The 23,721-nt window shown below is 35.2% G+C and overlaps 1 annotated feature.

The window, feature by feature from the left end:
* Window positions 19,571–20,212: an enhancer, noted in NCBI's record as "OCT4-NANOG-H3K27ac hESC enhancer chr13:54930851-54931492 (GRCh37/hg19 assembly coordinates)". NCBI's record gives its function as "activates a minimal SCP1, AML or CMV promoter by ChIP-STARR-seq in naive H9 embryonic stem cells {active_cell/tissue: H9 hESC(naive)}" and the evidence as "EXISTENCE:reporter gene assay evidence [ECO:0000049][PMID:30033119]".

Below are 23,721 nucleotides of genomic sequence, written 5' to 3' on the forward strand. Positions count from 1 at the left end.
ATAAGAAGCATTCCATTCACACACAGATGCTCTTTTCCCATTTATCTTTGTCCTGGAGTATTTTTTCTTAGGAATATGGGGTTCTGCTTTTAATTCCAATTTTCCTGTGTGGTGAAACTTTCTGGCACATCTCAGGAACTAGAACATATTAGGGAAACAGAGAAACAGTATTTGCCTTGAAAGAGTTGCTGGACAATCTTTGCTTTGATTGTGATGGATCATACAGAAGGCTCTGTGAGATTTAAGCAGCTACATTTTTCAGGGTCCCTTGTTAGAGCTATAGTCACTTACCCTGACTGGTCCAAAGAATGAATATAATGAAACACTTTCTTTTGCCTGGGTAATAAAAGATCAGTGAAAACTGATAGCATACTTGATGGTTTTGCAGCTTAGAGATCTCATCAGTATCTAAATCTGTCATAATGTATGTTTAACAAAAAAGAAGAGCATTTGGAGAACTGACTTGTTTCATTAAGTTACTGCTACATTCTCATAGCCAGATAGGAGAGTCTATCATTGTTATCTTAGCAACAAGACACTGGCTTGCTACTGACACCACCTTGGTGGGAATGATTTTAAGCAATTCATGTTCTCAGCCTGCCTGCCTCCCACACCAACATACTCTCTGTGACTTGTATAACCATGGAAAATGAGTTTGCATTTTCCTTGATGGCTATGGATATGTGACTCAAAGGGGTTATTTTTAGAGAAAATGGAAACAAGATGAGTTGATAGACTTAATACAAATCATTTAGAAATTATTTATAGGTCTTTGGTGTCATCAACAGTGAGAGATACATAAAGATGCAAGCTAGGGAGTAATAACAGCTTCTTTTAGAGTTGAAAAGGTTATCTGATGTGATGGCAAGTGAACTACTGTCATATACTTGGACATATGCATAGGCATCTACATGGGAATTTTACCACATGGGATGACATTATTATTGAATATTACAGAACACTTGAGCTGCACTATTCATCAGAAAATCTAAAGTTACTCAGATGAACGCTAATAGCAAACATAAGGCAACATTGACACAAAGTCTCCTAATTAAAATAAGTTGAAGGGAAATAAACTAAATTGTCCAGCCACACTTTATATTGTAAAGATGAGATTTTCTACTGTTGCATTTGTAAACTTTAATTCTTTCTAAAATATTTGAGTTTCTTCTTAGATCACAATATATTCTAATAACCTTAATTTTGTAGGTAAATTACTCTTCTAATTATCTGTAATTAGCTAATTTTAAAGTTAGTTATCATGTTAGAGACCTTTCCTTTTAGAGTAGATGTACACAAGTTTCCATTCCCAATCTGTAGCTCTCTTTCTCAATTATGCTTAAAAAACTAGAGTACTAGCATTATTTCTGTAGTATATTATAGTATATAAGATTATGTGGTTTTGTTTAAGTCAAGTCAAGTTTTAAATGCCATGTGTGCTAGCTACTCCATTGCTGAAAATTTGGGTAAGTAATTGAAATTCACTAAATTTGAATTTCTTCATTTACAAAATGTGGAAACATAGTGCTTGTACTATACCATATATTAAATCAACAGGGTTTTTGTGAGGATGGATTAATTTTAGAAATAGTTCTTTGACCAGTATCTGGTTTAAGTAAACACTCAATATTTTTAATGGATAAAAATTATTGTATTCTTAAGTACCTAATCTATGTTTACTAAGTATAACTTACTTGATTTCACTAAATCTTCTTTCTCAGAATTCTACTTAGCTCTATGGAAAAAAAGTCAAGTGCATTTTAGATATTTAACTTCTCTCCCTAAAACAGTGGCATTCTTGGCTCAGTTAAATATTGTTAGGGATAATATTGCCTTTATCATGAAAGAACTATACATAGAACTTTGAGAGTCATGAATATCACAATTATACTTCACTCCTAAAATCTTAAATCATCCTCTGTTGTAGTATTTGCTTATCGTCTCCCATTTTATAAATGCATTAATGTTCTTGATTAATTAAAAAGGGTGAAATTTCATTCACGTTTAAATTAGATCCAACTCAAGGGAGAGCTGTGAATAGAACTTGCATCCACTGGATTGTCAAAAAGTAGTCATTTCTGTTTTACATGATTAGCTAAAACAGCCGACTCATGGCTTTTTGGAAACAACACTCTTCCTCCAGGGCCACCCATGGGTCCCTTAGCAGCCTGGTTGGAAAGCAAATGCTCTATGTAATTGACAAATAATTCTTACCCATGAATAAATAACTGTGCTGACCTTCAGGCTGTTGCCTATAGAACATGATGCAAATTCCTTCAATTTTTATTTTTTTACTTTTTAATATTTCTTGAAGTATTTTACTATTTCTCCCTTCTGTCAAAACATATCAATGTCACTTTGCAAAACTTTGATCCATAATGCCACTGTTCCACCTTTTCTTCCTTCTCTGTATAAATATCCATCACGGTTGACATTTAACATTCACAAATCATTGTAGCAGATTTCACTTATGCATGATTGGGTATGATTTTCTAAATTTAGACATGTGTTTGGTTCATCCAGAAAGTTTTCCAAATTCTTTATATTCATAGATTAATAAGTTAAATAAATTACATTTTTTTCACAGAACAAATTTGTATAAATAGACTACTTGAAGTCTTTCGTTTCTCAGGTTAAAATGTAGATATCTCATTTCCAGCCAATTAAAATTAATTATTTTTATTTGATGTTACATATTGTGTTATATATTAATAAACTAGTTTATATTATAATAGGCATTTCACTCAATCATATAGGAACTACATTCAGAGAACCACAATTAGAAGACTCCAGCAGTGACTTTTGATAAAGTTGAATCATACTTCTGCTTGATATCTTATGTACGTTGGATTCCCTGTTCTTTTAATACTTTATCTACTACAGGATTGGCCCCTGTAGATTAAATAAGACTCCACTTTTGGGCTTTGCAAAGAAGTGGCCACAAATCTTAAGTGTTGGTTCAAACACTAGCTTTTTTTTTTGTCTACTGTAATAGTAATTACCCATACTTAAGTCTCACAGAAGATTAAGGTAGAATCTTCCTTAGGATACTTCTTTTATTTTTTCTTAGACACAAGATTTTCTATGACAGAGGGAATTGTCAGTCCATTAATATCTTCTAATAGAAACAGTTTGATCATATATACATATATATCCACATATTAAAATTTTGTTCTTCAGGTTTTCACCTTAAACCAATATTTGATTAATTTTAAATTCAAGAACAATTCTTAACAACATACTGAAAGGACATTATTATAACATGATTTTCTCTAACATCAGTCCTGCTGTTTGGACCAAAAAAAGAAACCTAAGTTTAGGATTTATATATATGTTTATATCCTAAACACACACACACACACACACACACACACACACACATATATCTTAAACAGATGAATACTTATATGCATGCACACTTATGAATATATAAATATATACATATAAATGCACAGGTATACATGTGTACATATCTGATGAGTTTGTGTGATATACATTCATAAACATATATAGACAAATATATCTGCATTGTGCATAATTGAATAAATTATAAATTTTATTTTAACTATCAAATGGCCCAGTAATTGCAAATCATGGGCATTTAGTTTAAGGCAGATATAGAGGACAAGAATAGAGAAATAGCTACAGACCAAGGCATGAAAAGTGGCCAATCCAGAGCACAGTGAAACCAGTATAGAGCTGGAGATGGAGAGGGCCACATTTCCACTCTCACAGAGCTTGCTTAACTTTGTAGTTAACTATTCCTGTGTGGCATAACTGCGTGAAAACTCCCACCATAGCCACTCTTTCCCGAGACTCTCAGTTCCAACCACGGTCACCACAAATTTTTAATGAGAGTTAACATTCTCCCAAAGTAAGCTGGAGCCAAACTATATATATCTTTGCAGCCTGATCGTCTAGTCCTCTTCTATTGCTGATTCTTATTTATTGTCCTATTCCTCCCAATGTAAAACAGGACCCACTGCCAACATATACTAAGTCTTTAAGCGCTTTGCCGAAAGCCATCTTATCCGGGTAGTTCAAATAGAAGTCATCTCTCCTCCCAGAAGAGGCAGCTCACTCTAGAGTGTAAAGCTGATTGAGGTTAGTGAGGGAGAAACTTCTGCCCCCACCTGTAGGCTCTCAGCCAGGCATCTTTGTGCAGGGCACAATTGGCACAGCCGTACCTGTCAGCCTTAATGGGAAGCCTACGCTTGGCCACATTGCTTATGTAGAATAACTTGTAATCGCTTAAACTAACTTAATTTTCTTAGACCCCTGCTGTAATTCTTAACACACTAGTCTATGTCATTTTGGGAACTAGCCAAAATCATGGAGGGCTCCCTCCTTTTCACAAATCTCCCCATTAATTAATTGCTTAGTTCTTCAAAGCAGTGAGATGAAATTTCAGAACACTATTAGATAGAAATAATTTGAAAAAATTTTTTTCAAGTGACTTTTTTCGGAATTCTTCCAAAACAAAAGAGATTGGCAAAGAGTTTTGCCAAAGTCAAGCTTAATGGTTACTATGTAGTAACTGCTTCAAAAGGGACTGTTTTTTTGTCCTCCTCTGAAACACAGATGTTCGACAGTGATGGCATTCAATTATTACATTTCCTTTTTTTGAAACATTGAAAGAAGGATTTTTTTTAGTCTCTAGAATAAACACACAAAAGTAGCAAGCAAACAAAATTTTAGTTGGAGGACAGGTAGAAAAAAATATTTCCATCTCTTTTTTTTCCCTTAAACAAAATAGATAAAATATATTTTGGGCTGGAATGTTCACAGTAGAGACAGTTTATCAATTATATTTCTTTCAGAAAGAAGAAAGCATTGTGGCTTGGTTGATGTACAGAAAGAGCTCTTACTGAATCCAGTAGCATTCCCAGTGCTGTTGAAGGTGTAAATCACTCTAAAGGCTTTGGTGTATGCAGTCCTGGATTCAAATCCTATCTCTGAAAGCTTGAAGAAGAGAGTTGACATTTCTGGAGCACACAAATCAACTCATTAAATAATGGTATCTATAAATATAACATAATCCATAATTTAATGGGCCACAAAATCCTTTATAGAATCAAATGGTTTTCTAATTGTCTGAGAATGTTTACATAAAATAGAGCTATGAAAGATGAGCCTTCTGGGTGACTGTTATTTCTTTGTTTGTTTTTCTTTAGACAAATGAATATCTTTTCTGACTTCGATAGCACACATACTAGAATTAGAAAATACCAAGGAGATCATTGTGGCCCCTGGGCATGGGTGATCTATATCATCGTTCCCCAACCCCTGGGCCATGGACCTGTACTGGCTTATGGCCTGTTGGGAACCGGGTCACACAGCTGGAGGTGAGTGGCAGGTGTGCAAGCATTGCTGCCTGAGCTCCGCCTCCTGTCAGATCAACTGGGGCATTAGATTCTCACAGGAGTGCAAACCATATTGTGAATTGCACATGAGAGGGATCTAAGTTTCGTGCTCCTTATGAGAATCCAGTGCCTGATGATCTGAGGTGGAAGTTTCATCCCCAAAATATCCCCCACTCCCACCACTCCCCCGCCTCCCTGCCCCCATCCATGGACAAATTGTCTTCCACCAAGCCAGTCCCTAGTGCCAAAAAGGTTGGGGACCACTGATCTATATTGTCTAAAGTGAAAATTCACTGTAGAAATATACAGAATAACTTATTTAAGACTCACTTTACTAAAACCCCTTCTAGATTTATTGAGATATTCACAATTACAAACAATCTGTGAACCAGGAAGGTAGATTTGGATTATATATCAATGTTCAAGGGCAGTGCTTGATATAAATGCTACCACTGGCTTAATCAAGAAGTAATTATCATCTAAAAATAGTGGCCTAGGGGTTTTTCTAAAGAAGCCTGGATCTTGAGTTGCAGGAGCCTCCAAAATGCATACAGAGCAATCCAAAGATAGAATGTAGATTGTTGATAGTTCTTTAACTTCTCTCCACTTAGGCGTTATTTCTCATAGTATAACTTGACAAATAATTGTAGCCAGCAATTCTTATTTAGAAATGCACCTGTAGATATTGTTTCCAGTGAAATACAGGCTTGAAACACCACCTTTATTTACCTATGCAAAATTAGCAAGTTGTACATAAAGGAAAATTATGAGATACAGCAGCGTGATACCTAAATTAAAGTGTGAATAAAATCTTCATAATGCTGCGTGTAAAGATATAAAATAATAAGAAGTCCAGTTAAGGATCCATATCTGTCACACCAATAAAACATGATAAAATACATTAAACAGAGATGTGAACTATTTATTATAAAAAGAAGGAATGGCAACAGACACCATCTGTATGAGTGTACTTTCTAAAGCAGTAATTGGTTAATTGTATAATTTAGATATCTTACTTAAATCAAGTTTATATTTCACCATGAATTTCAGTATTACATTAATGACTATTGTAATGAAGTCATTAAATCTGAAAGTCAATATTAATTTACTATAAGAGGACTCTTAGTGACTTACATTGGCAGGTGAGAAGGAATAGTTTAGTATTATCTATTTGATTATTTCATAACCTATGTGCAGACCATAAAGCAGTTTCTGGTTGCTAAATTTTTAGTTCAGTTATAATTACTTGATATTGAAATACACCATATTATAGCAGCTTTTCACTGGTAATCATATCATGATTATTCATGATTATCTTTACCACATTTTTTTCACACAGTATTTTTTATATGTAAAGTTTGTTTTATGGAGTAATCAAATTCAAATATTTTAACTGACTCAGGGGAAAAAAGAAGTATCTTGATCACTTTTTTTTTTTCCCTGTGTCCAATGCCTCATGGAATATTGACAACTCCTTTAAACTTTTTTGGCTAATTTCGTCGTAAAACTTATTCTCAGATTCCTAAGTTGTATGCTTATTCTGCCCTGTTTTAATTTTTTTAAACTATTTTATCTACTAATTTGCTTCTATAGAGGTGGGAATTTAGTTCTGAAACCTACCCTCTACCTCCATCCAGTGAGCACACACATACTTGTGTATGGATGTGCAACCTTACGTACCTGCACAGACTTCCTCTCCTCTCAAGCTCCTTATATAACTATATCCATTTTGGTTAAAGCAATATTTAGTGTTTGCGTTATTAACGCAATGTTAATATTATTCAGTGCTAAGTCATGCAATGCACTATGATTATATTTGCTTTCTCAAACCATTTTCTATTGACCTGGAGGCAATTATTGCCATCTTTATTTGCTTCATTTTCTTTGTCATAATCAGTATTCAGCCTGAAACTCCACAAGGGAAATATAAATCTCTGTTCAAAACATTTAAAACATATCACATACTCTATAACATTTCTTATTTTCTTGGCTATTTCCCTTCTAGACACTTTCTTATTTTTCTCCTATCTTGCCCAATTGCTTTCTAGGCCTGCTGCGTAGCTGTCATCCTAGGAGGACTGTCACCTTCCCCTTTTATTCTTATATTACTATGCCTTTTTATATGGAGTGCATCACATGGCTTCTCCACAAGAAAGGATGAATATGAAAAAAATGTGTAAATATGTATACCTGAATTTTGTTTTCTTTTAAATTTTAGCCCTACACATGTTTGAACATATAACTTGGTATAGCATGCTATTTGCGGATTAATATTACCTCCAAATTTTGAAGGTAGTGTTCCATTATGTTGTAGCTTTTTGATATTTAGAAGTTTAATCCCATATGTCTAAGTTAGTGTGTGAATTTTTTTTTCATGATTGTCCTCAAAAATTATCTTTTTTTTCCCCAATTACTGGAAAATATCCTGACAGTATGCTTTGATATAGGTGGTCTTTTTTCATTCCCTATGCTGCTGAGCTCTCAATAAACCCTTTCAAAATAGAAAGTAATGTTCTCTTTATTTAATATTTCTTTGATAATTTTTTCTCTTGTTTAATCTTTCTGGAGCTTCTGTTACAGAGTAGGAAAAATGGATCAGAGACAAATGGAGCTCCTGGGTCAATCCTCTAATTTTCCTTTCTATTTTCCATTTCTTGGACTTTTTTCCTGTCTTCTGGGAGATTTCTTAAACTTCATTCTATAAATAATTTATTTTGTGTGGAGATCTGACTGCCTGCCCCAAACTCTAAACATATTTGCAAGTTTTTTCTCTGCAAAGGTTGAATCAGAGGGTCTCTGAACTCAAGTGATGCAGGGATAGCTGAAGAAATTCTTCATCCTAATCATTTTTACCCCTGTTACTTTCTGTCTATCTATTATATAAGTTTATTTATATGCCAATTCTATATTTACTTACATATGTTCATTTATGTATAAATGCCAGTTCTCAATTATTAACTTTTTTTTTTTTTTTTTTTTTTTTTTTGAGACGGAGTCTCGCTCTGTCGCCCAGGCCGGACTGTGGACTGCAGTGGCGCAATCTCGGCTCACTGCAAGCTCCACTTCCCGGGTTCACGCCATTCTCCTGCCTCAGCCTCCCGAGTAGCTGGGACTACAGGCACCCGCCACCGCGCCCGGCTAATTTTTTGTATTTTTTTTTTTTTAGTAGAGACGGGGTTTCACCTTGTTAGCCAGGATGGTCTCGATCTCCTGACCTCATGATCTACCCGCCTCGGCCTCCCAAAGTGCTGGGATTACAGGTGTGAGCCACCGCGCCCGGCCAATTATTAAACTTTTAAGAAGTCTTAAAAACATTTTGTTTTCTGAATATAATTTTTATTATGTGTAAGCATTGTTTTACAATGGATGTATAATTTTCTCCTAACTATCTGCGTAGAGTAATTACAGTTTTTTTTTCTTTAGGTTTTGCTCTGCTTTCTGCTTTATTTTTGTCATCACATGTAGCTTTCCTCTGTTCATTTTGCTCTCTCTTTTATGATAGAGATTGTCCTTAAATACCTAGTCATCCAGAGCTCTTTGAAGTTTTTGAGTGAAAAACAAAATACCTGCTGGAGGGTGGGCGTGATGGCTAAGCCTGTAATCCCAGCACTTTGGGAGGCCGAGGCTGGTGAATCACTTGAGGTCAGGAGTTCGAAACCAGCCTGGTCAACATGGTGAAACCCTGTCTCTACTAAAAATACAAAAAAATTAGCTGGGTGTTGTGGCGGGTGCCTTGTAATCCCAGCTGCTCAGGAGGCTGAGGCAGGAGAATCACTTGAACCTGGGAGGCCGAGATTGCAGTGAGCCAAGATCCTGCCACTGCACTCCAGCCTGGATGACAGAGTAAGACTCTGTCAAAAAAGAAACAAACAAAAAAACAGACAAACACGCCTACTGGAAACTCTGGGCATGCGTAGGCTTGCTGAGTGATGGATTGTGAAGGGAGATGTATTGATATGGACATATCTCCTAATGCTGATGTAACAAATTACCTCAAACTTAGTGGTTTAAACAACACAAATTTTATAGGTTAGACATTCAGTACAGGTCTCACTGGACTAAAATCAATGCGTCAGTGGGGCTATGATGCCTTCTAGGAGAATCTATTTATTTCTGTTTTCTACCTTCTAGAAAGAAGCCACCCACATTCCTTGGCTTCCAGCACTTATTCTCCATCTGCAAATACAGCAAGAGAGGGTAGATTAAGTTCATTCTGGCCATGTGTCATAGTCACATCTCCCAGTCATTACAGCCAGGAAAGGTTATCTGCTTTCAAAGGCCCATATGATTAGATTGGGCCCACCTGGGTAATGCAGGCTATAATTTCCTTATCACCTCTTAGTCACATCTGCAAAGTCCCTTTTGTCAGAGAAGGCATCATATTGATAGTATCTGAGGATAAGAAACTGTGCATCTGGCTGGGCGCGGTGGCTCACGCCTGTAATCCCAGCACTTTGGGAGGCCGAAGCGGGTGGATCATGAGGTCAGGAGGTCGAGACCATCCTGGCTAACACGGTGAAACCCTGTCTCTACTAAAAAATACAAAAAATTAGCTGGGCGTGGTGGCGGGCACCTGTACTCCCAGCTAGTGGGGAGGCTGAGGCAGGAGAATGACGTCAACTGGGGAGGCGGAGCTTGCAGTGAGCCGAGATGGCGCCACTGCACTCCAACCTGGGTGACAGAGCGAGACTGCATCTCAAAAAAAAAAAAAAAAGAAAAAAAAAGAAACTGGGCATCTTTGGGGACCCTTATCCTGCAGATCAAGCAGAGAGGACCAAGTAGGGAATCAAGCAGAAAGACAAAACCATTTCGTTGATGAACAATTTTCAGTAGATGCAGTTCTCTGCTCTTTGAGAGAAACCTTCCTTATTCTTCTTCCTTTTGTATGTAAGCCAGCCTACCAGCTTTCTAGGAGTCAAATGTAGAAAGTGTTAGGGGTAAAAATAATTAGGATGAAGATTTTCTTCACCTGTTCCTGGTGCACTTGAGTTCAGAGGCCCTCTGATTCAACCTTTGAAGAGGAAAAAAAAACTGCAGGTATGTTTAGTGTTTGGGGGCAGGCAGTCAGATCTCCACACAGAGTAAATACGGGCATTCAACCAGTTGTGCTATTCTTCAACCCTACATTCTCATGCATTGCACTCCAGCTTCTTGACACTCACCAGCCTACAGGCACTTAGCGTTCAGCTTTTCCCATCTGCTGAGTTAGTTACTCTGTAAATCTGTTTTTCATTTTCCAACATTTGGCTGGAATTTCTCATCTGCTGTCATCTTCTTTCCTATTCTCTTTTGCTTGGTGGATTTGTCTAGTTTCTAATCCTTTATTGTCATTTAAGTAAGTTTACAGGAGACAGTAGAAGTCAAGGGTTATGTTTAACACATCACATTAAAGTAGAATTTCCTTTGCATAAAGATTAATAAAAACATACACCTTTTCTATTTATCCCTCTTCATAGTTGATTAAGTTTTGAGTTGTTGTTTGCCTTATACTGACTCATTTTGACACTGTAGTATTATGCATTGTATGAAGGTTTTATAGTTTAGACATAGATAAAAAAAGTTATACAATAATAATGTATCATTTAAATACATATGTATAAGGCATTTGTTTTGAAAGAAGAGTGGAATATTAAACTCCAGGGAAAAAGAGAGCATGGTCATCATTAGATAAAACTATTATATATCAAATTAATTTTGCAGAGTTTATAAGCCAATGATAATATAATACAATGTTGAGTAGCATGTTATCATTATTGAAATCCTTTAACATATCTTGATAATTCTGGGAGGCTTTTTTTATACATTTTTATTCATATAATTTTTTATATTTTCTATTTTAACATTGTTGCAAGAATAAGTTAACTCAAATTCATTTTGTAATGATCAAAAAATGTATTTATCAAAATTGAGAAGTAGAACCACATACTGGAATTCAGGGATTTGCTCTTCTTGAATTCCTATTTAGAGACCAATGATATAAATATTACATACTTGGATTCAGCATGTAATTTGGAAGCAAAATATTTTGCAAGTTCAATTAAGTTTAAACAGGAAAAAAAAACAAACAAAACTAATTGCTGGAAGGCAATTGGAATGCCCCAGGCTTAGATTTAATGACTAAACCATGTCTGATCTCCAGGGTGTTGCTTTGCCTAGACTTTTTCTTTTGTTTGGAAACTTTCATTTTTCTTAAGATTCTAAAATTACAGGTTGTCAGCACATATGGCATATTTTGAAATCTAGAGCAACTGCATAGTAGGCAAATAAATGAATACATAGGTTTATAAATATAACTAAAAATAAGAAAAAATTAAAGTAAAACTATTAGTCCCAAAAATCAATATTACGGAACTTTAGATGTATGATAAAGTATAAAGTAAAATAGTATCTCAGCAAAACAAAGCAATATGGGAAGCAAGAAAGCCAGAACAGTAAATCATAGGCTGGGGGAAGCAATTACTCAGCTAAGGTATATCTGCAAAGTTCAAATTAAATGTTCCAGAGGCATGGTTGTCTCAGATGTCCTTTAGGCAGGTGGCAACCAGGTAGGGACCATGATAGCAAGAGTTAGTGCATCAGGCAATACCTAAGGCATGTGGACTCTATGAAATCAGTTCCAGGTGACCTGTTCATTAACAAGGCACTAACTAGAAGCCATGGTGATGAGATGAAGCATCTTTTATATGGGGCTAGTAGAAGATAAATGGGGTGACAAAAACTCACCCATCAGACGTAGACTTAGAAAAGAGCATTAGAGTGGTATGTGAGGAAAGTGTAACATTATAATGGAGGTAAAGGAATATCAGTTTGGAGGCAATGTATTAGGTCACTGTCAATCAGAACAATTCCATGCCTCCACATGAGACATGATGGCTGATATATTTCCTACGCAAATCAGCATTTTCTGTAATGTTAAGTCTACAAGTAGAGGGATGTAGTCACTTCAGATAAGAGGGTTGGAGAAGGCAGGGACTGGCAGAAAGAAGGATCCACCATTTTCTACAAAACCAAAGTTTATTTTCTCAGGCTTTCTGAATTAAGATGCACTTGATACATATTAATTTATGCTATTAATAAGTCCTAATATGACAACAAGTACAGTAGGTTGAATTTTATTATCAGGCAATGAGTAAAAGTCTCCCAAGATATTTACTAGCTCAATGGTTCTTAATACTGGCTGTGCTTTAGGATCACCTGGGAGATCTTTAAAAAATACTGATGCCTGGGCCTTCTTATCAAATTCTCTGCAGGTGGGGCCTAAGCAGCACTATTTTTTAAAAGTCTCCAGGTGACTTTAATTTGCAGGCAGGTTGAGAACCACTAGACTAAACAAATCATTAGCAGCTTATTATTTTTGCTTAGATTGTGGTTGAAATATCCTTGGAAACAAAGGTAGGCTTGAGAAATTCTAAGAAAATTATTTAGTTCTTTAAGTTCAAGTACAGCAAAGATGAAGTTTGCAAAATTCAGCAGTGAATAAAACTCTGAAATCACTCTGCAAGTTTCAATTATTTTTTATAGTTTCTATGCATTTCTATAACATACCCAGAAGCTACTCTGATGTGTCTTTTGAAAGTCCACTGAGGGAAAACAATACCTTTTTTTCTTCAAATTGTTTGTTTTTCTACACACTGTACACACACAAAAAAAGAGTATGGAAGTTATTATGTTGATATTTTAAGCAAAAAAATGCCTTCAATTATGTATTTTGAATATCTTGCTAATTGAAGCAAAAGAAGTATATATTTTTCACTTTCTTATATTATCTAGAAAACTACCCTGATTATGGACTCTGCAGGTGTAGGAACAGCCTTCATCGGGAGAAGTAGAATTCATGATTTATTCAAATCTATAATGGTAATGAGTAGTCAGTCTATGAAGAAAATTCAGGTCTATTCCAAGGGTACTGAAAGCTTTCTTTACATGTAGCTGTTCATCTCTGTGACATTCCTGGAGGGCGTCTTTTCATAGTTTATTATTATTTGAAGTGGCAGGAGGCAGGTAACTTCAAACGAAGCAGCCTGAAGTAATAGTCTTGGGAAGACATTTCCTGTTCAAAATACACCTAAATTTGTTGATTGTGACCATAGGAAGCTGAGGAATATTATGGGAGAATGTACATTAGGAAAAGAGAGAGAATATAGTAACAACATCTTAGAAACAGCATGAAGAATAAGTGCTATTTGTAATCAAGCAGAGGTTTGTCAAAATCAAAGTTGTTGGGAAAGAGATGACTCATACTTTCCTTAAACAAAATCAATGTATTCACCTTTCAAAACATGGAACAGTCATATTAAAAAAAGAGATGTCTCCAAAGAAGAAGGGGAGAAATTGAATAAGAAGGTAAATAAACAACTCCTGCTTCAATTCAAACAGTCCAACTTTTATTACTTCCATATAGATACCTACATAATCATTAATTTGGCAGAATGATTTTGCTACTAAAACAAACAAAAATAATAATAAAGTTATGAAACTTACTTTTGGAAAGGGCCCAGTTACATTTGCCATGTCAAACCCAAAAATATGTATTGGCATCATGTAAAAAGACGTTATCAATTATTAACACCATCCAGCACATTATTAGTGTAGAGTGCTCACCTCAAGCCATGCCTAACACATCCTTCTGCCCCTTTCTGGACTGTATACCCTTCCACCACCCTATTCATTTTCCCTTTCCTCGCATTCCCTCTGCAGTTGGCTTTGAAGTATGGTATTAACATCTCTGCCATAAGTTTGACCCCTCTGGGCACTCTTCTGTTTTTTTATACCCACTTTGTGAGGCAAGTTTGAATAATTTGCCTTTCCCTTCATTCTAGCTCCTTGGAATCCTTGCACCTTGGTTTAATTTGGTTCCTGCCGATTCAAAAGTATTGACTAGGTCAAGAGCACAAATAAATGAGTCTCAGAGCTGAAGGCAAAACTACTAATGATCCCATTTGCTGTATTTCAGTCGCTTATAAAAGTAGCTGGAGAAAAACTACTTTTTGCTTGCCTTGGGTAACTATGAAACAAGCAAATTCAAAATATTTGTAGAAAGTCTGAAGTTGCTAATCATATTATAAATCTTACATCTAGAATGAAATTATTATGTGAGACATCACACATCTGTGAACCATTTTCATAATTGCATCTGGGTGTACATCTGTGTGTCTTAGTTCACTCACAAAACGTGATTTTCTAATGAATTAGAAACTCTAAAATTAAAACCCCTATAAACCCACTAAAAGGCTACAAAAGGAATCACATAGCTGGAATCCACTTCACACAATCATGTGTTCAAACCCCATCTCACAGAGATCCACAATGAATTCTCAAAATAATAGAAAATAACATTTTAAGAGATGAAAATGGAAATTTCAGCTACAATGATTTATTCTTCCATATCCCTTTATTCCATAATTTCACTTTGCTAATTTTCCCTAGAGGATGTATCAACAAATTATTTCTCATTTGTCTTTTCTTACTCTGCTTTTCTTCTACAGTATCCTTATGTCCATAATTATGGGCTTGCAAATATCTACTGTGCAATCATTTAACCTCCTCTTTCACAAATGAAATTGCCCATTATGTGAAAAGAAACTAATCCTTTTTATTGCATTATATATTGATTTGTTGGGTGGTTGGTAGACAGATTGAGTTGCTCCTACCTAGCTTCTAAGAGTCTTTGGCATGACCAACTTTTCTATCTTATTCGTCAACTCTCCAGCTTTTCAACTCTTTTACAAAACATAAGTCAGAATTGAATAAATTTTCATGGCTAGTGGAAAAATACATAAAATAATTAATTCTTTCCTCTGCATTTCAATTTTCCTAAGTTATATAGGCATTTTTAGTGAAAGCACAAGTCACAGTCAGCCTGTGGACTCTGTGACCCTGCTGTACTTTTGTTTCATTGATTTTTACACCACTTTTGTCAATGTAGTTTGATATGCATTTTTAAATAGACCAACTTAGCCATATTTTTGATAAAATTAATCTTGGTGTGGGTGAGTCAGTACATTATTTATAATTGCTAGTATTTTGAATCCAAAATTGTATTTTCGTTCAATAAAGCAAGGTGTATTTATATGATCTTAAGGTGATAATAGATAAGACAACATACTTATTCTGTGAAATTGTATTAACTATTGCTGGAGATTAAAGGCAAGTTAAAAATGATAGCACTAAACACATACGGTAACTACTGTAGACATTTAAAAATCCATAAATTTTCAGGTATTAAAATTCTGTAAAAAATTAACTTGCTCTACAAAATTTAATAAAAATATTAAAACGAACTGGTCCAGATTCCTCTAGGGACCTTATTGGGCACATTATTCTAGTTTAGTTATGAACCACTAATATCCATGGGGAGAACTCTGAATTATAGCACAAAAATAATAGCTACCAATTCTTTGAGTGCTATATACCAGACACCGTGCAAGGTGCTTTGCTTACTGTTATCCTACTTTACAGTTATTTTCTTCACTTTACAGAAGAGAAAGCATAAGCTCAGAAACAAAGTAATTTTCCTACAGTCATAAAAATGTTTGAGGCTTTGATAGATACAGAGACTTTTAATGCTAATTTGTATACACTTTGTCTTTGCTTCAGGGTACACAGAATGATTACATTTGTTCCTTGCTGTTAGGAGGAACAAGCAGAAGTTCCATATGCCACCTTCTTCTGCTACTGCAGCAACAAGTGATATTCGAGACAGTGAAGCCCCCATCAATTCTAGACTGATATGGAGCAGAGACGACCTCCTATACACACTCCCACTACTGACCCATGGTGGACAAGAAACCAGAAATTTCATTATGTTAAGCTTCTGAGATATTTCTGTTTTTTCCACTGAACATTATTCTAATTTATGTGATATATTTGATTTTAGAGCTAACTTGTTCTAAAGCTTACAGTCTTTTGCTGGGCAGGGTAGCAGTTCCAGCCACTTAGTAGGCTGAAACAGGAGGATGGCTTAAGCTCAGGAGTTTGAGACCAGCCTGGGCTAAATAATGAGACCCCATCTCTTAAAAATATATACAAAATATATAAACAAAAATAAAGCTTACAATTTTTTTCAACAACAACCTTGTGTATAGTTCAAACGGATTTTGTACCCCATACCTTAGTAACCTACTCAATGTCATATAAGCCTTTCTACCTTTCAGAGTATCTTCTTGTCATTCCTTCTTAAAATGCTCCTCCCAAATCCTATTCTGTCTTTTTTTACTACTTTTGATCTGAACTGTCCAATATGTGACTTTGTCCATATGTGTCCACATGCAACTATTGAGCCCTTGAAATATGGCTAGTTCAAAACTGAGATACACTGTAAGTATAATACTGCATACTGGATTTTGAACAATTAGGACAAAAAGAATATTAAATATATTCTTAAAATTAATTACATGTTAAAATGGTATGTTGGATATATTTGGTTAAATGAAACTTTATTAAAATGAATTAGCCCTGTTTCTTATTTTTTTTTTTGTTTTTTGTTTTTAATTGTGTCTGCTCAAAAAACTAAAATTACACAAGTGGTTCACATTTGTATCTTGAGTAATATTTCCATGGAGAGCACAAAAATAGATCCTGATGAAAGAATATATCCATCTTAAAACTTTTCTTGAAGATCTAAATCAGCTACAGTGACTTTCTTTCTTTTGTAGGGAAGGGAAAAATATCTTTTCCTAACCCATCTGCCTATCCGAGGTTCTTAGCTGAGACACCTATAACCAAAGGTAGATAAACATACAAATTTCTTTAAATAAGTTTTATGAACACAGAACCCCTCACAAGAAAATGGAGACCAGAAAAAACAGTTAAACTTGTGTATGCTTATGCCTGGATTGATGAAGAGTAGACAGTCATGGAGAAATATGATTGGACAAAAGTTATGGAAATAAACTGGGGAAACAGCAAGGCCTGTTTGTTCAGATTTTTCTGTGTGGCTCTTTGTCTTGAGATGAGAATGTGCCTTTCTTCTGGGTATAAGGAGGGTACCTCTTACATAAGGTCTTATAACCAGCTTGAGGGGAGAAGGGCAAGGGGAAGGTGAGAGTGACCTCCTAGCTTCTGCTATTTTTCCAAATGCCAAGCTGCCATATTTCAGTGTAGCATGACCTGAACCCCATCACTCCACATCACCTTACTCTATAAATTCATTTTGCTATTTTTTCTATTTATATTAGTCCATTTTCATACGCTATGAAGAAATACCTGAGACTGGGCAATTTATAAAGAAAAAGAGGCTTAATAGACTCACAGTTCCACATGGCTAGGGAGGTCTCACAATCATGGTGGAAGGTGAAAGAGGAGAAAAGCCACGTTTTACGTGGCAGCGGGCAAAAGAGTGTGTACAGGGGAACTCTCCTTTATAAAACCATCAGATCTCATTAGACGTATTCACTATTCACTAGCACCAGGGGAAAAACCCATCCCCATGCTTCAATTACCTCCCACTGGGTCCCTCCCATGACATGTGGAGATTGTGGGAGCTACAATTCAAGATAAGATTTGGGGGGTAACACAGCCAAACCAGGTTACTATTGTATATCATTATATTAATGATGCTTATCTGAAACAATTGTCCTGTCTTAATAGGTACAAAGCTTTTAAAATTACAGAATATTTGTTATTTCTCTGAGACCTCCCTACAGTACTTTGCAGTCTACTTTGTACAGATTACACATTCTATGAACTGTTTTAACTGATTTTGGACAGTGAGGTTTCTGAGGAAGACATTGATGGCAGGCTGCTTTGATTTGTGATTGTTGTATCTATTCTGGGCTCTCACCAAATGCTCACTGGAGTAGACATTTCAGAGTATAAAAAAAAGTTAAAAATTCAAAAACACAAAAGGCACTCAAATAAACCAGGATTTGAAAATCACCAATTTCAATTTTTCTAAACTCTTAATGAGAACCTCACCTGGTCTATAATTGAAGATCAACCAAAGGTCATGCAGAAAAACAAAATAGAATGTAACAAGTAAGCTCTTCTACTATTTCATGCTTAGGTACATTGACAGCGGGCCTCATAGAAATGGGGCTAATCTAAAAATAAATATCCATATTTTGGTTTGAAGAAATAATTATCCTATGCAAGTTCTTAGACCCATCTCTAGGAATACTGAAAGACAGATATTTTTCTCACACAAGTAAATATTCTACCATGTTTCAAAAAAAAGTGAAAGACAATAAAAATGGTATTGGAAAGAGTGTGCTAAAGATGACCATCTGTTCTCCAGGAGGTGAAAGAAAAGGAGCTTAAAATTACACTAAGGGACATAGTATGTTTACAAAGTATACTAATACTACAGAGACTGCTGGAGAAGGCATTAAAGAAGTGTGCAGGGAAGCAGCAATCAACTGTGCCCTAAAGCAGACAGGAGAAGCCAAGTGTATGGCAAGGATTGGGTCAAAGACCCTTCTGGGAAGTCAGCACACCCCTGCCTGATTCAGGATTTGCTGGGAGAGGCAGTTCAAAAATCTAAGACTTTACTGGATTGTCATTGTCCACACACAATCTGCTTAGTGAAACTTTCTAAAGCCTTTTTTAAAAAAACAAAAATAAACTATGTCTGTAACTTTGTGATGTGTTCTAAATGTGTGTAATTCTTCTCCCAAAAAAGTCTTTAATTAATAAATAAAATATTCCAGGATATTAATAATATGTGTATCTCTAATAAAAGAGTAATGCGCCCCACATAGAAAAAAATGTATAACAGCAGCCAAAAAAGGAAAAAAAAAAATCAGCACCTCTTAAAGAAACATGGCACAGGAAGCATGCTGTTTAAACACTACTTTGCATATCTACCAGTTGTCACTTCTTTTGGGGAATAGATATAGGAACAAAAGCTTACCCCTTCTTCTGACCTTAGCAAAGTTAATCATTCCCTCAGTTCTCCTTTGATTTGGAATCTCCAATCTTAGCCCTTTGCAAGGGTAGAGTGATAGTCAGATTTCTTATCACAAGTGCCTTTTATTCATTGCTGATAATCTCCTTGTATTACAGGAAGCACTTTTTCATTTTCTTGGTGAGGTGCTCTGGGAGCAAAATAAGAATTAAGACCATGTGTTGTACATTTTCTATCTCTAGAATCTAGTGCTGTAAGTAGCAAGCATTTGCACTTTGACACTGGAATTATTTTAAACAGACTTACGTTTATGTAATCTGCCTATTTATGTCAAATAGCCAGAAATCAGCATTGACTAGTGTTTTCCCAATGTGTCCCTAAGCAAGTGAGCAATATATTGATAACTAAAATGAACTCAAGAGATTAAGCAGTGCCTAAAAACACTGAGTTTTCTTTCTAGGAAAATAATATAGTGGAGTCCTATGAAAACCTGTTAACTAAAATAGCAACAGTAAGGAATAAGGCAATGACTTCAATGTGCTAACAATTCCGACATTTTAGACAGAAACTTAGAACCAGTGAGACTCATTTTACAAACTTGCTTTCTTCCTTTCCTTCCTATAATACATAGGTCCTCTTTTAGAAAAAAGCTGGCAAGGGTTGAGTGACCTCAACTCCTTGGGAGTCTATTCCTATGTAAATGAGAGCATTCAGACTTGGAAGAACCAATTCTCTCCAGGGAATGTCAGAAATGGCAAAGCTTCAGACTCAAATTACTGGGTGCCATACCACACACTAAAAAAAAAGAAGAAAAAAAATCTGTAGAAGCTGAATCATTTAAAACTAGACAGCACCAAAGTGTATGAGACTATGCTATAAGGAACAATTTTGCTTTGCATTAGGTGGCAGGATAGATATTCGTGTATCCTAGTTTTATGATTTTCTGCCATGGTAATGACAATCTAAAAATGGGATACTGCTTTCCTGGGAGTAGGAGCACTGCTGTGTCTGCTGACCTGCAGAGAAACTCCAAAACATGAAAAGCCTAGGGGGAATTCAGTGCCAGGTGGTAGTGAGGATTTGTAGTTAGGGCTCCTCTCCATTGACTGTCACGGCAGGTGAACAGCCACAGCCACTGACAGGGATCTGGAGAGCAGCAGCAGTGCAGACCGTAGAAGGTGCCAGCATTCGTTTGAGAATCCCTCCTGACTTCTGAATGTACAACTGTAGTTCACAGACGTAGGCAACTTGAAAGAATTGTAAACCAAAAATAAAATTCTAAGCCCCTCAACCAATTGAATAGACCCCTCCTCTTGGGCAAGGGCATTCCTAAGTTAACCTGAAAAACTCCTTCAGTCCACAATGGAAAGAGAAGGTCAAACAGGTCCCACTATACCCTCCTCGCTGGAATTCAAGCACAACTGACTAGCATTAACATTAAAACAGAGACCTTGAGACTGACAAAACAGGCTATTTGTAGCAATAAGATACCAACATGAGATTAGTAGGTCCTGAAAGAAATTGAAGTATTTTACTTCAAAATATGTTTCTTTGACATATTTTGAAATGGCCCTGCAAAACTGTTTCTTTCGGGGAAAATCTACTTTCTGTAGAGAATCTCCTTCCCTTTTCAGGTCTTCCTAACTCAAGACAGAATTAACTAAGAACCTGGCACCTTTTTTAAGTCTGGTAAGAAACATTTACAATCTGTTCTCTATGAAGCCTGCTACCTGTAGGCTTTATCTGCATGATAAAAATCTTGGTCTCCACAACTCTTTATCTTAACCCAGATGCTCCTTTCTATGGATTCCACGTCTTTAGATAATAACTTAACTCTTTCAAGCAGTTACCAATCAGCATGTTCTCCCTTATTTGTGGGATCTAAAATTCAAAATGGTTGAACTCATGGACATAGAGAGTAGAAGGATGGTTACCAGAGGCTGGGAAGTGTCATAGGAGGGTGGGGCAGAGAGGAGGTGAGGATTATTAATGGGTACACAAAAATATAGAAAAAATAAGACCTGCTATTTGATAGTACAACAGGGTAATTATAGTCAATAATAACTAATTGTATAATTTAAAATAACTTAAAAGATTAATTGGATTGTTTGTAACTCAATGGATAAATGCTTGAGAAAATGAATACCCCATTCTTCATGATGTGCTTATTTCACATTGCATGCCTGTATCAGAACATATCACATACCCCATAAATATATATACCTACTATATATATATATATATATATATATAATGTATACACACACACCCCTACTATGTACCCACAAAAATTGAAAATAAAAAAATAAAACAAAAAAAAGAAAATTTTTGAATCCACCTATGACCTGGAAGCCACCTCCCTCAGCTTTGAGTTGTCCCTCCTTTCTAGGCTGAACCAACATACATTTTACTTGTATTGATCGATGTCTGATGTCTCTCTAAAATATATGAAATTAAGCTACAGGCCGACCACCTTGGACACATGTTCTCAGGGCTCCCTGGAGCTGTGTCATGGGTCATAGTCCTCGTATGTGGCTCAGAATAAATCTCTCTAAATATTTTGCAGAATTTGACTCTTTTCATCACAGAATGGTTACCATATGTTTTTGTTGTTGCTTAACAAGTTGTAGTTTAAATTGTCCTTATTGCAATGACATTGTTTATTATGCTTATTTATGGTCAACAAGAATTTATGCTCAGCTGTCCAGTTTCTGAATTTACTGGGGTCTTAGGCAGGAGATACAAATGTAGTTTCCCTCAAGGAGCTTGCAATCAAGTCATTGTTTCTTAATTACCTTTAAAATATATTTTAATGGAATGAAATACAGATTTAGAATAAGACTTACCATTTTAAAGTGTACATTTTAGTAATATGTAGTGTATTCACAACATTTTACAGCCATATGCTCTATTCGTTCATTTCAAAACATTTTATTACTCCATAAAAATGCCCAATATTCATTAAGTAATTTCCTTCCACCTCCTACCTCCCATTGTATTGTAAACCTTAATCTACTTTCTGTCTCTATAGATTGGCCCATTCTGGATATATCATATTTACAAGAAAGATTCAATATAAAATTTTCTGTTCTGGATTCTTCCACTTAGCATAATGGTTTTATAGCATTATAATATTATATATACATATATGTTATATTTATACTATATGTGTGTGTGTGTGTGTGTGTGTGTGTGTGTGTATACTACGGTTGTTTTACCCATTCATTGATGGACATTTGCGGTATTTCAACCTTTTGGCTTGAATACAAATATTGGTGTACAGGTTTCCTTGTAGACACATTTTGTTTTCTTTTGGGTATATACCTAGAAATGGAATTGCAGGGTCATATGGTAACTTTATGTTTATCTCCTAGAGAAACCATAAATTCCTGTCTATTCCATGGTTAATGTAAAATAGAAGCTCTGTAATTGCAAGTAAACTGTTTTGTTTTTTATAAGATAAATATATGGATATATGAAGATAGATTTAAGTGAAACAACTCTGGTTTCTAGTTGGGTTGTCAAGGGTAATAATAATCACTAGCATCTACCTACTTTTAAAATTTTTATTAGTAGTAGTAGTACATATAATCTCATTTTACCTATATATCAACTTATGTGTATTTTTTATAAGACTGATTACCACTTTAAAAACTATGAAAAAGACACACTTAAATATACTATAAATAAATCAAGATGAGATATTAAGCTATGTTTTAAAAAAGATAATACAAAATGTATTTAGGGACAAGAATCAGAAAAGAAACCAGAAAACAAATATAACATGTCAGAGTTAAGTTCTAACTTATCAATAATTATCTTAAATGTAAATGATCTAAATATACCAATCAAAAGACACAGACTAGCAGAGTGGATGTAAAACATGACTTAACTATATCCCCCTTCAATAAAATATCTTCAAATTAAAGGACAAAAGTAAGTTGAAGGTAAAAGAATGAAACAAGATTTACCATGCAAATGTTATTCAAGCAAGCATGAGTGACTGGTTATATTGAAAATTAAATATGTAAATTACAGAGAAAAGAAAATAGACACAAAAATAGGAATTGCATAGATAAAAGCGTAAAAGGATAAAAGGTTAAAATCATTGCATAATGATACACAATCCTAAAAATGTACCAAGCAAACATGGCGCCTTGAAATAAAATACATGAAGCAAAAACAGAGGTGAAAAAAGACATGAACAAATTCACAATTATTATTAGGAACTTGAAAATCCCACTTTCAGGAACTGATACAAGTGGTAGCTAGGTAACAAGGACATAGAAAATCTACTGTTAGATTGGCATATATAGAACATCTACCCAATACCAGTAAAATTGACATTTTCCAAATGCCTATGGAATATTCACCAAGACAGACCTCAGAAAATGTAAAACAATTGGAACCAGAGTGAATTTTTTTTATAATGGAATTGAGCTAGGAATCAATAACAGAAAAACGACAGAAAAAGTATACATATATGAATATTGACAAACATACATCTAAATATAG

Source organism: Homo sapiens, chromosome 13 (assembly GCF_000001405.40).
Source record: "Homo sapiens chromosome 13, GRCh38.p14 Primary Assembly".
Lineage (NCBI taxonomy): Eukaryota > Metazoa > Chordata > Mammalia > Primates > Hominidae > Homo > Homo sapiens.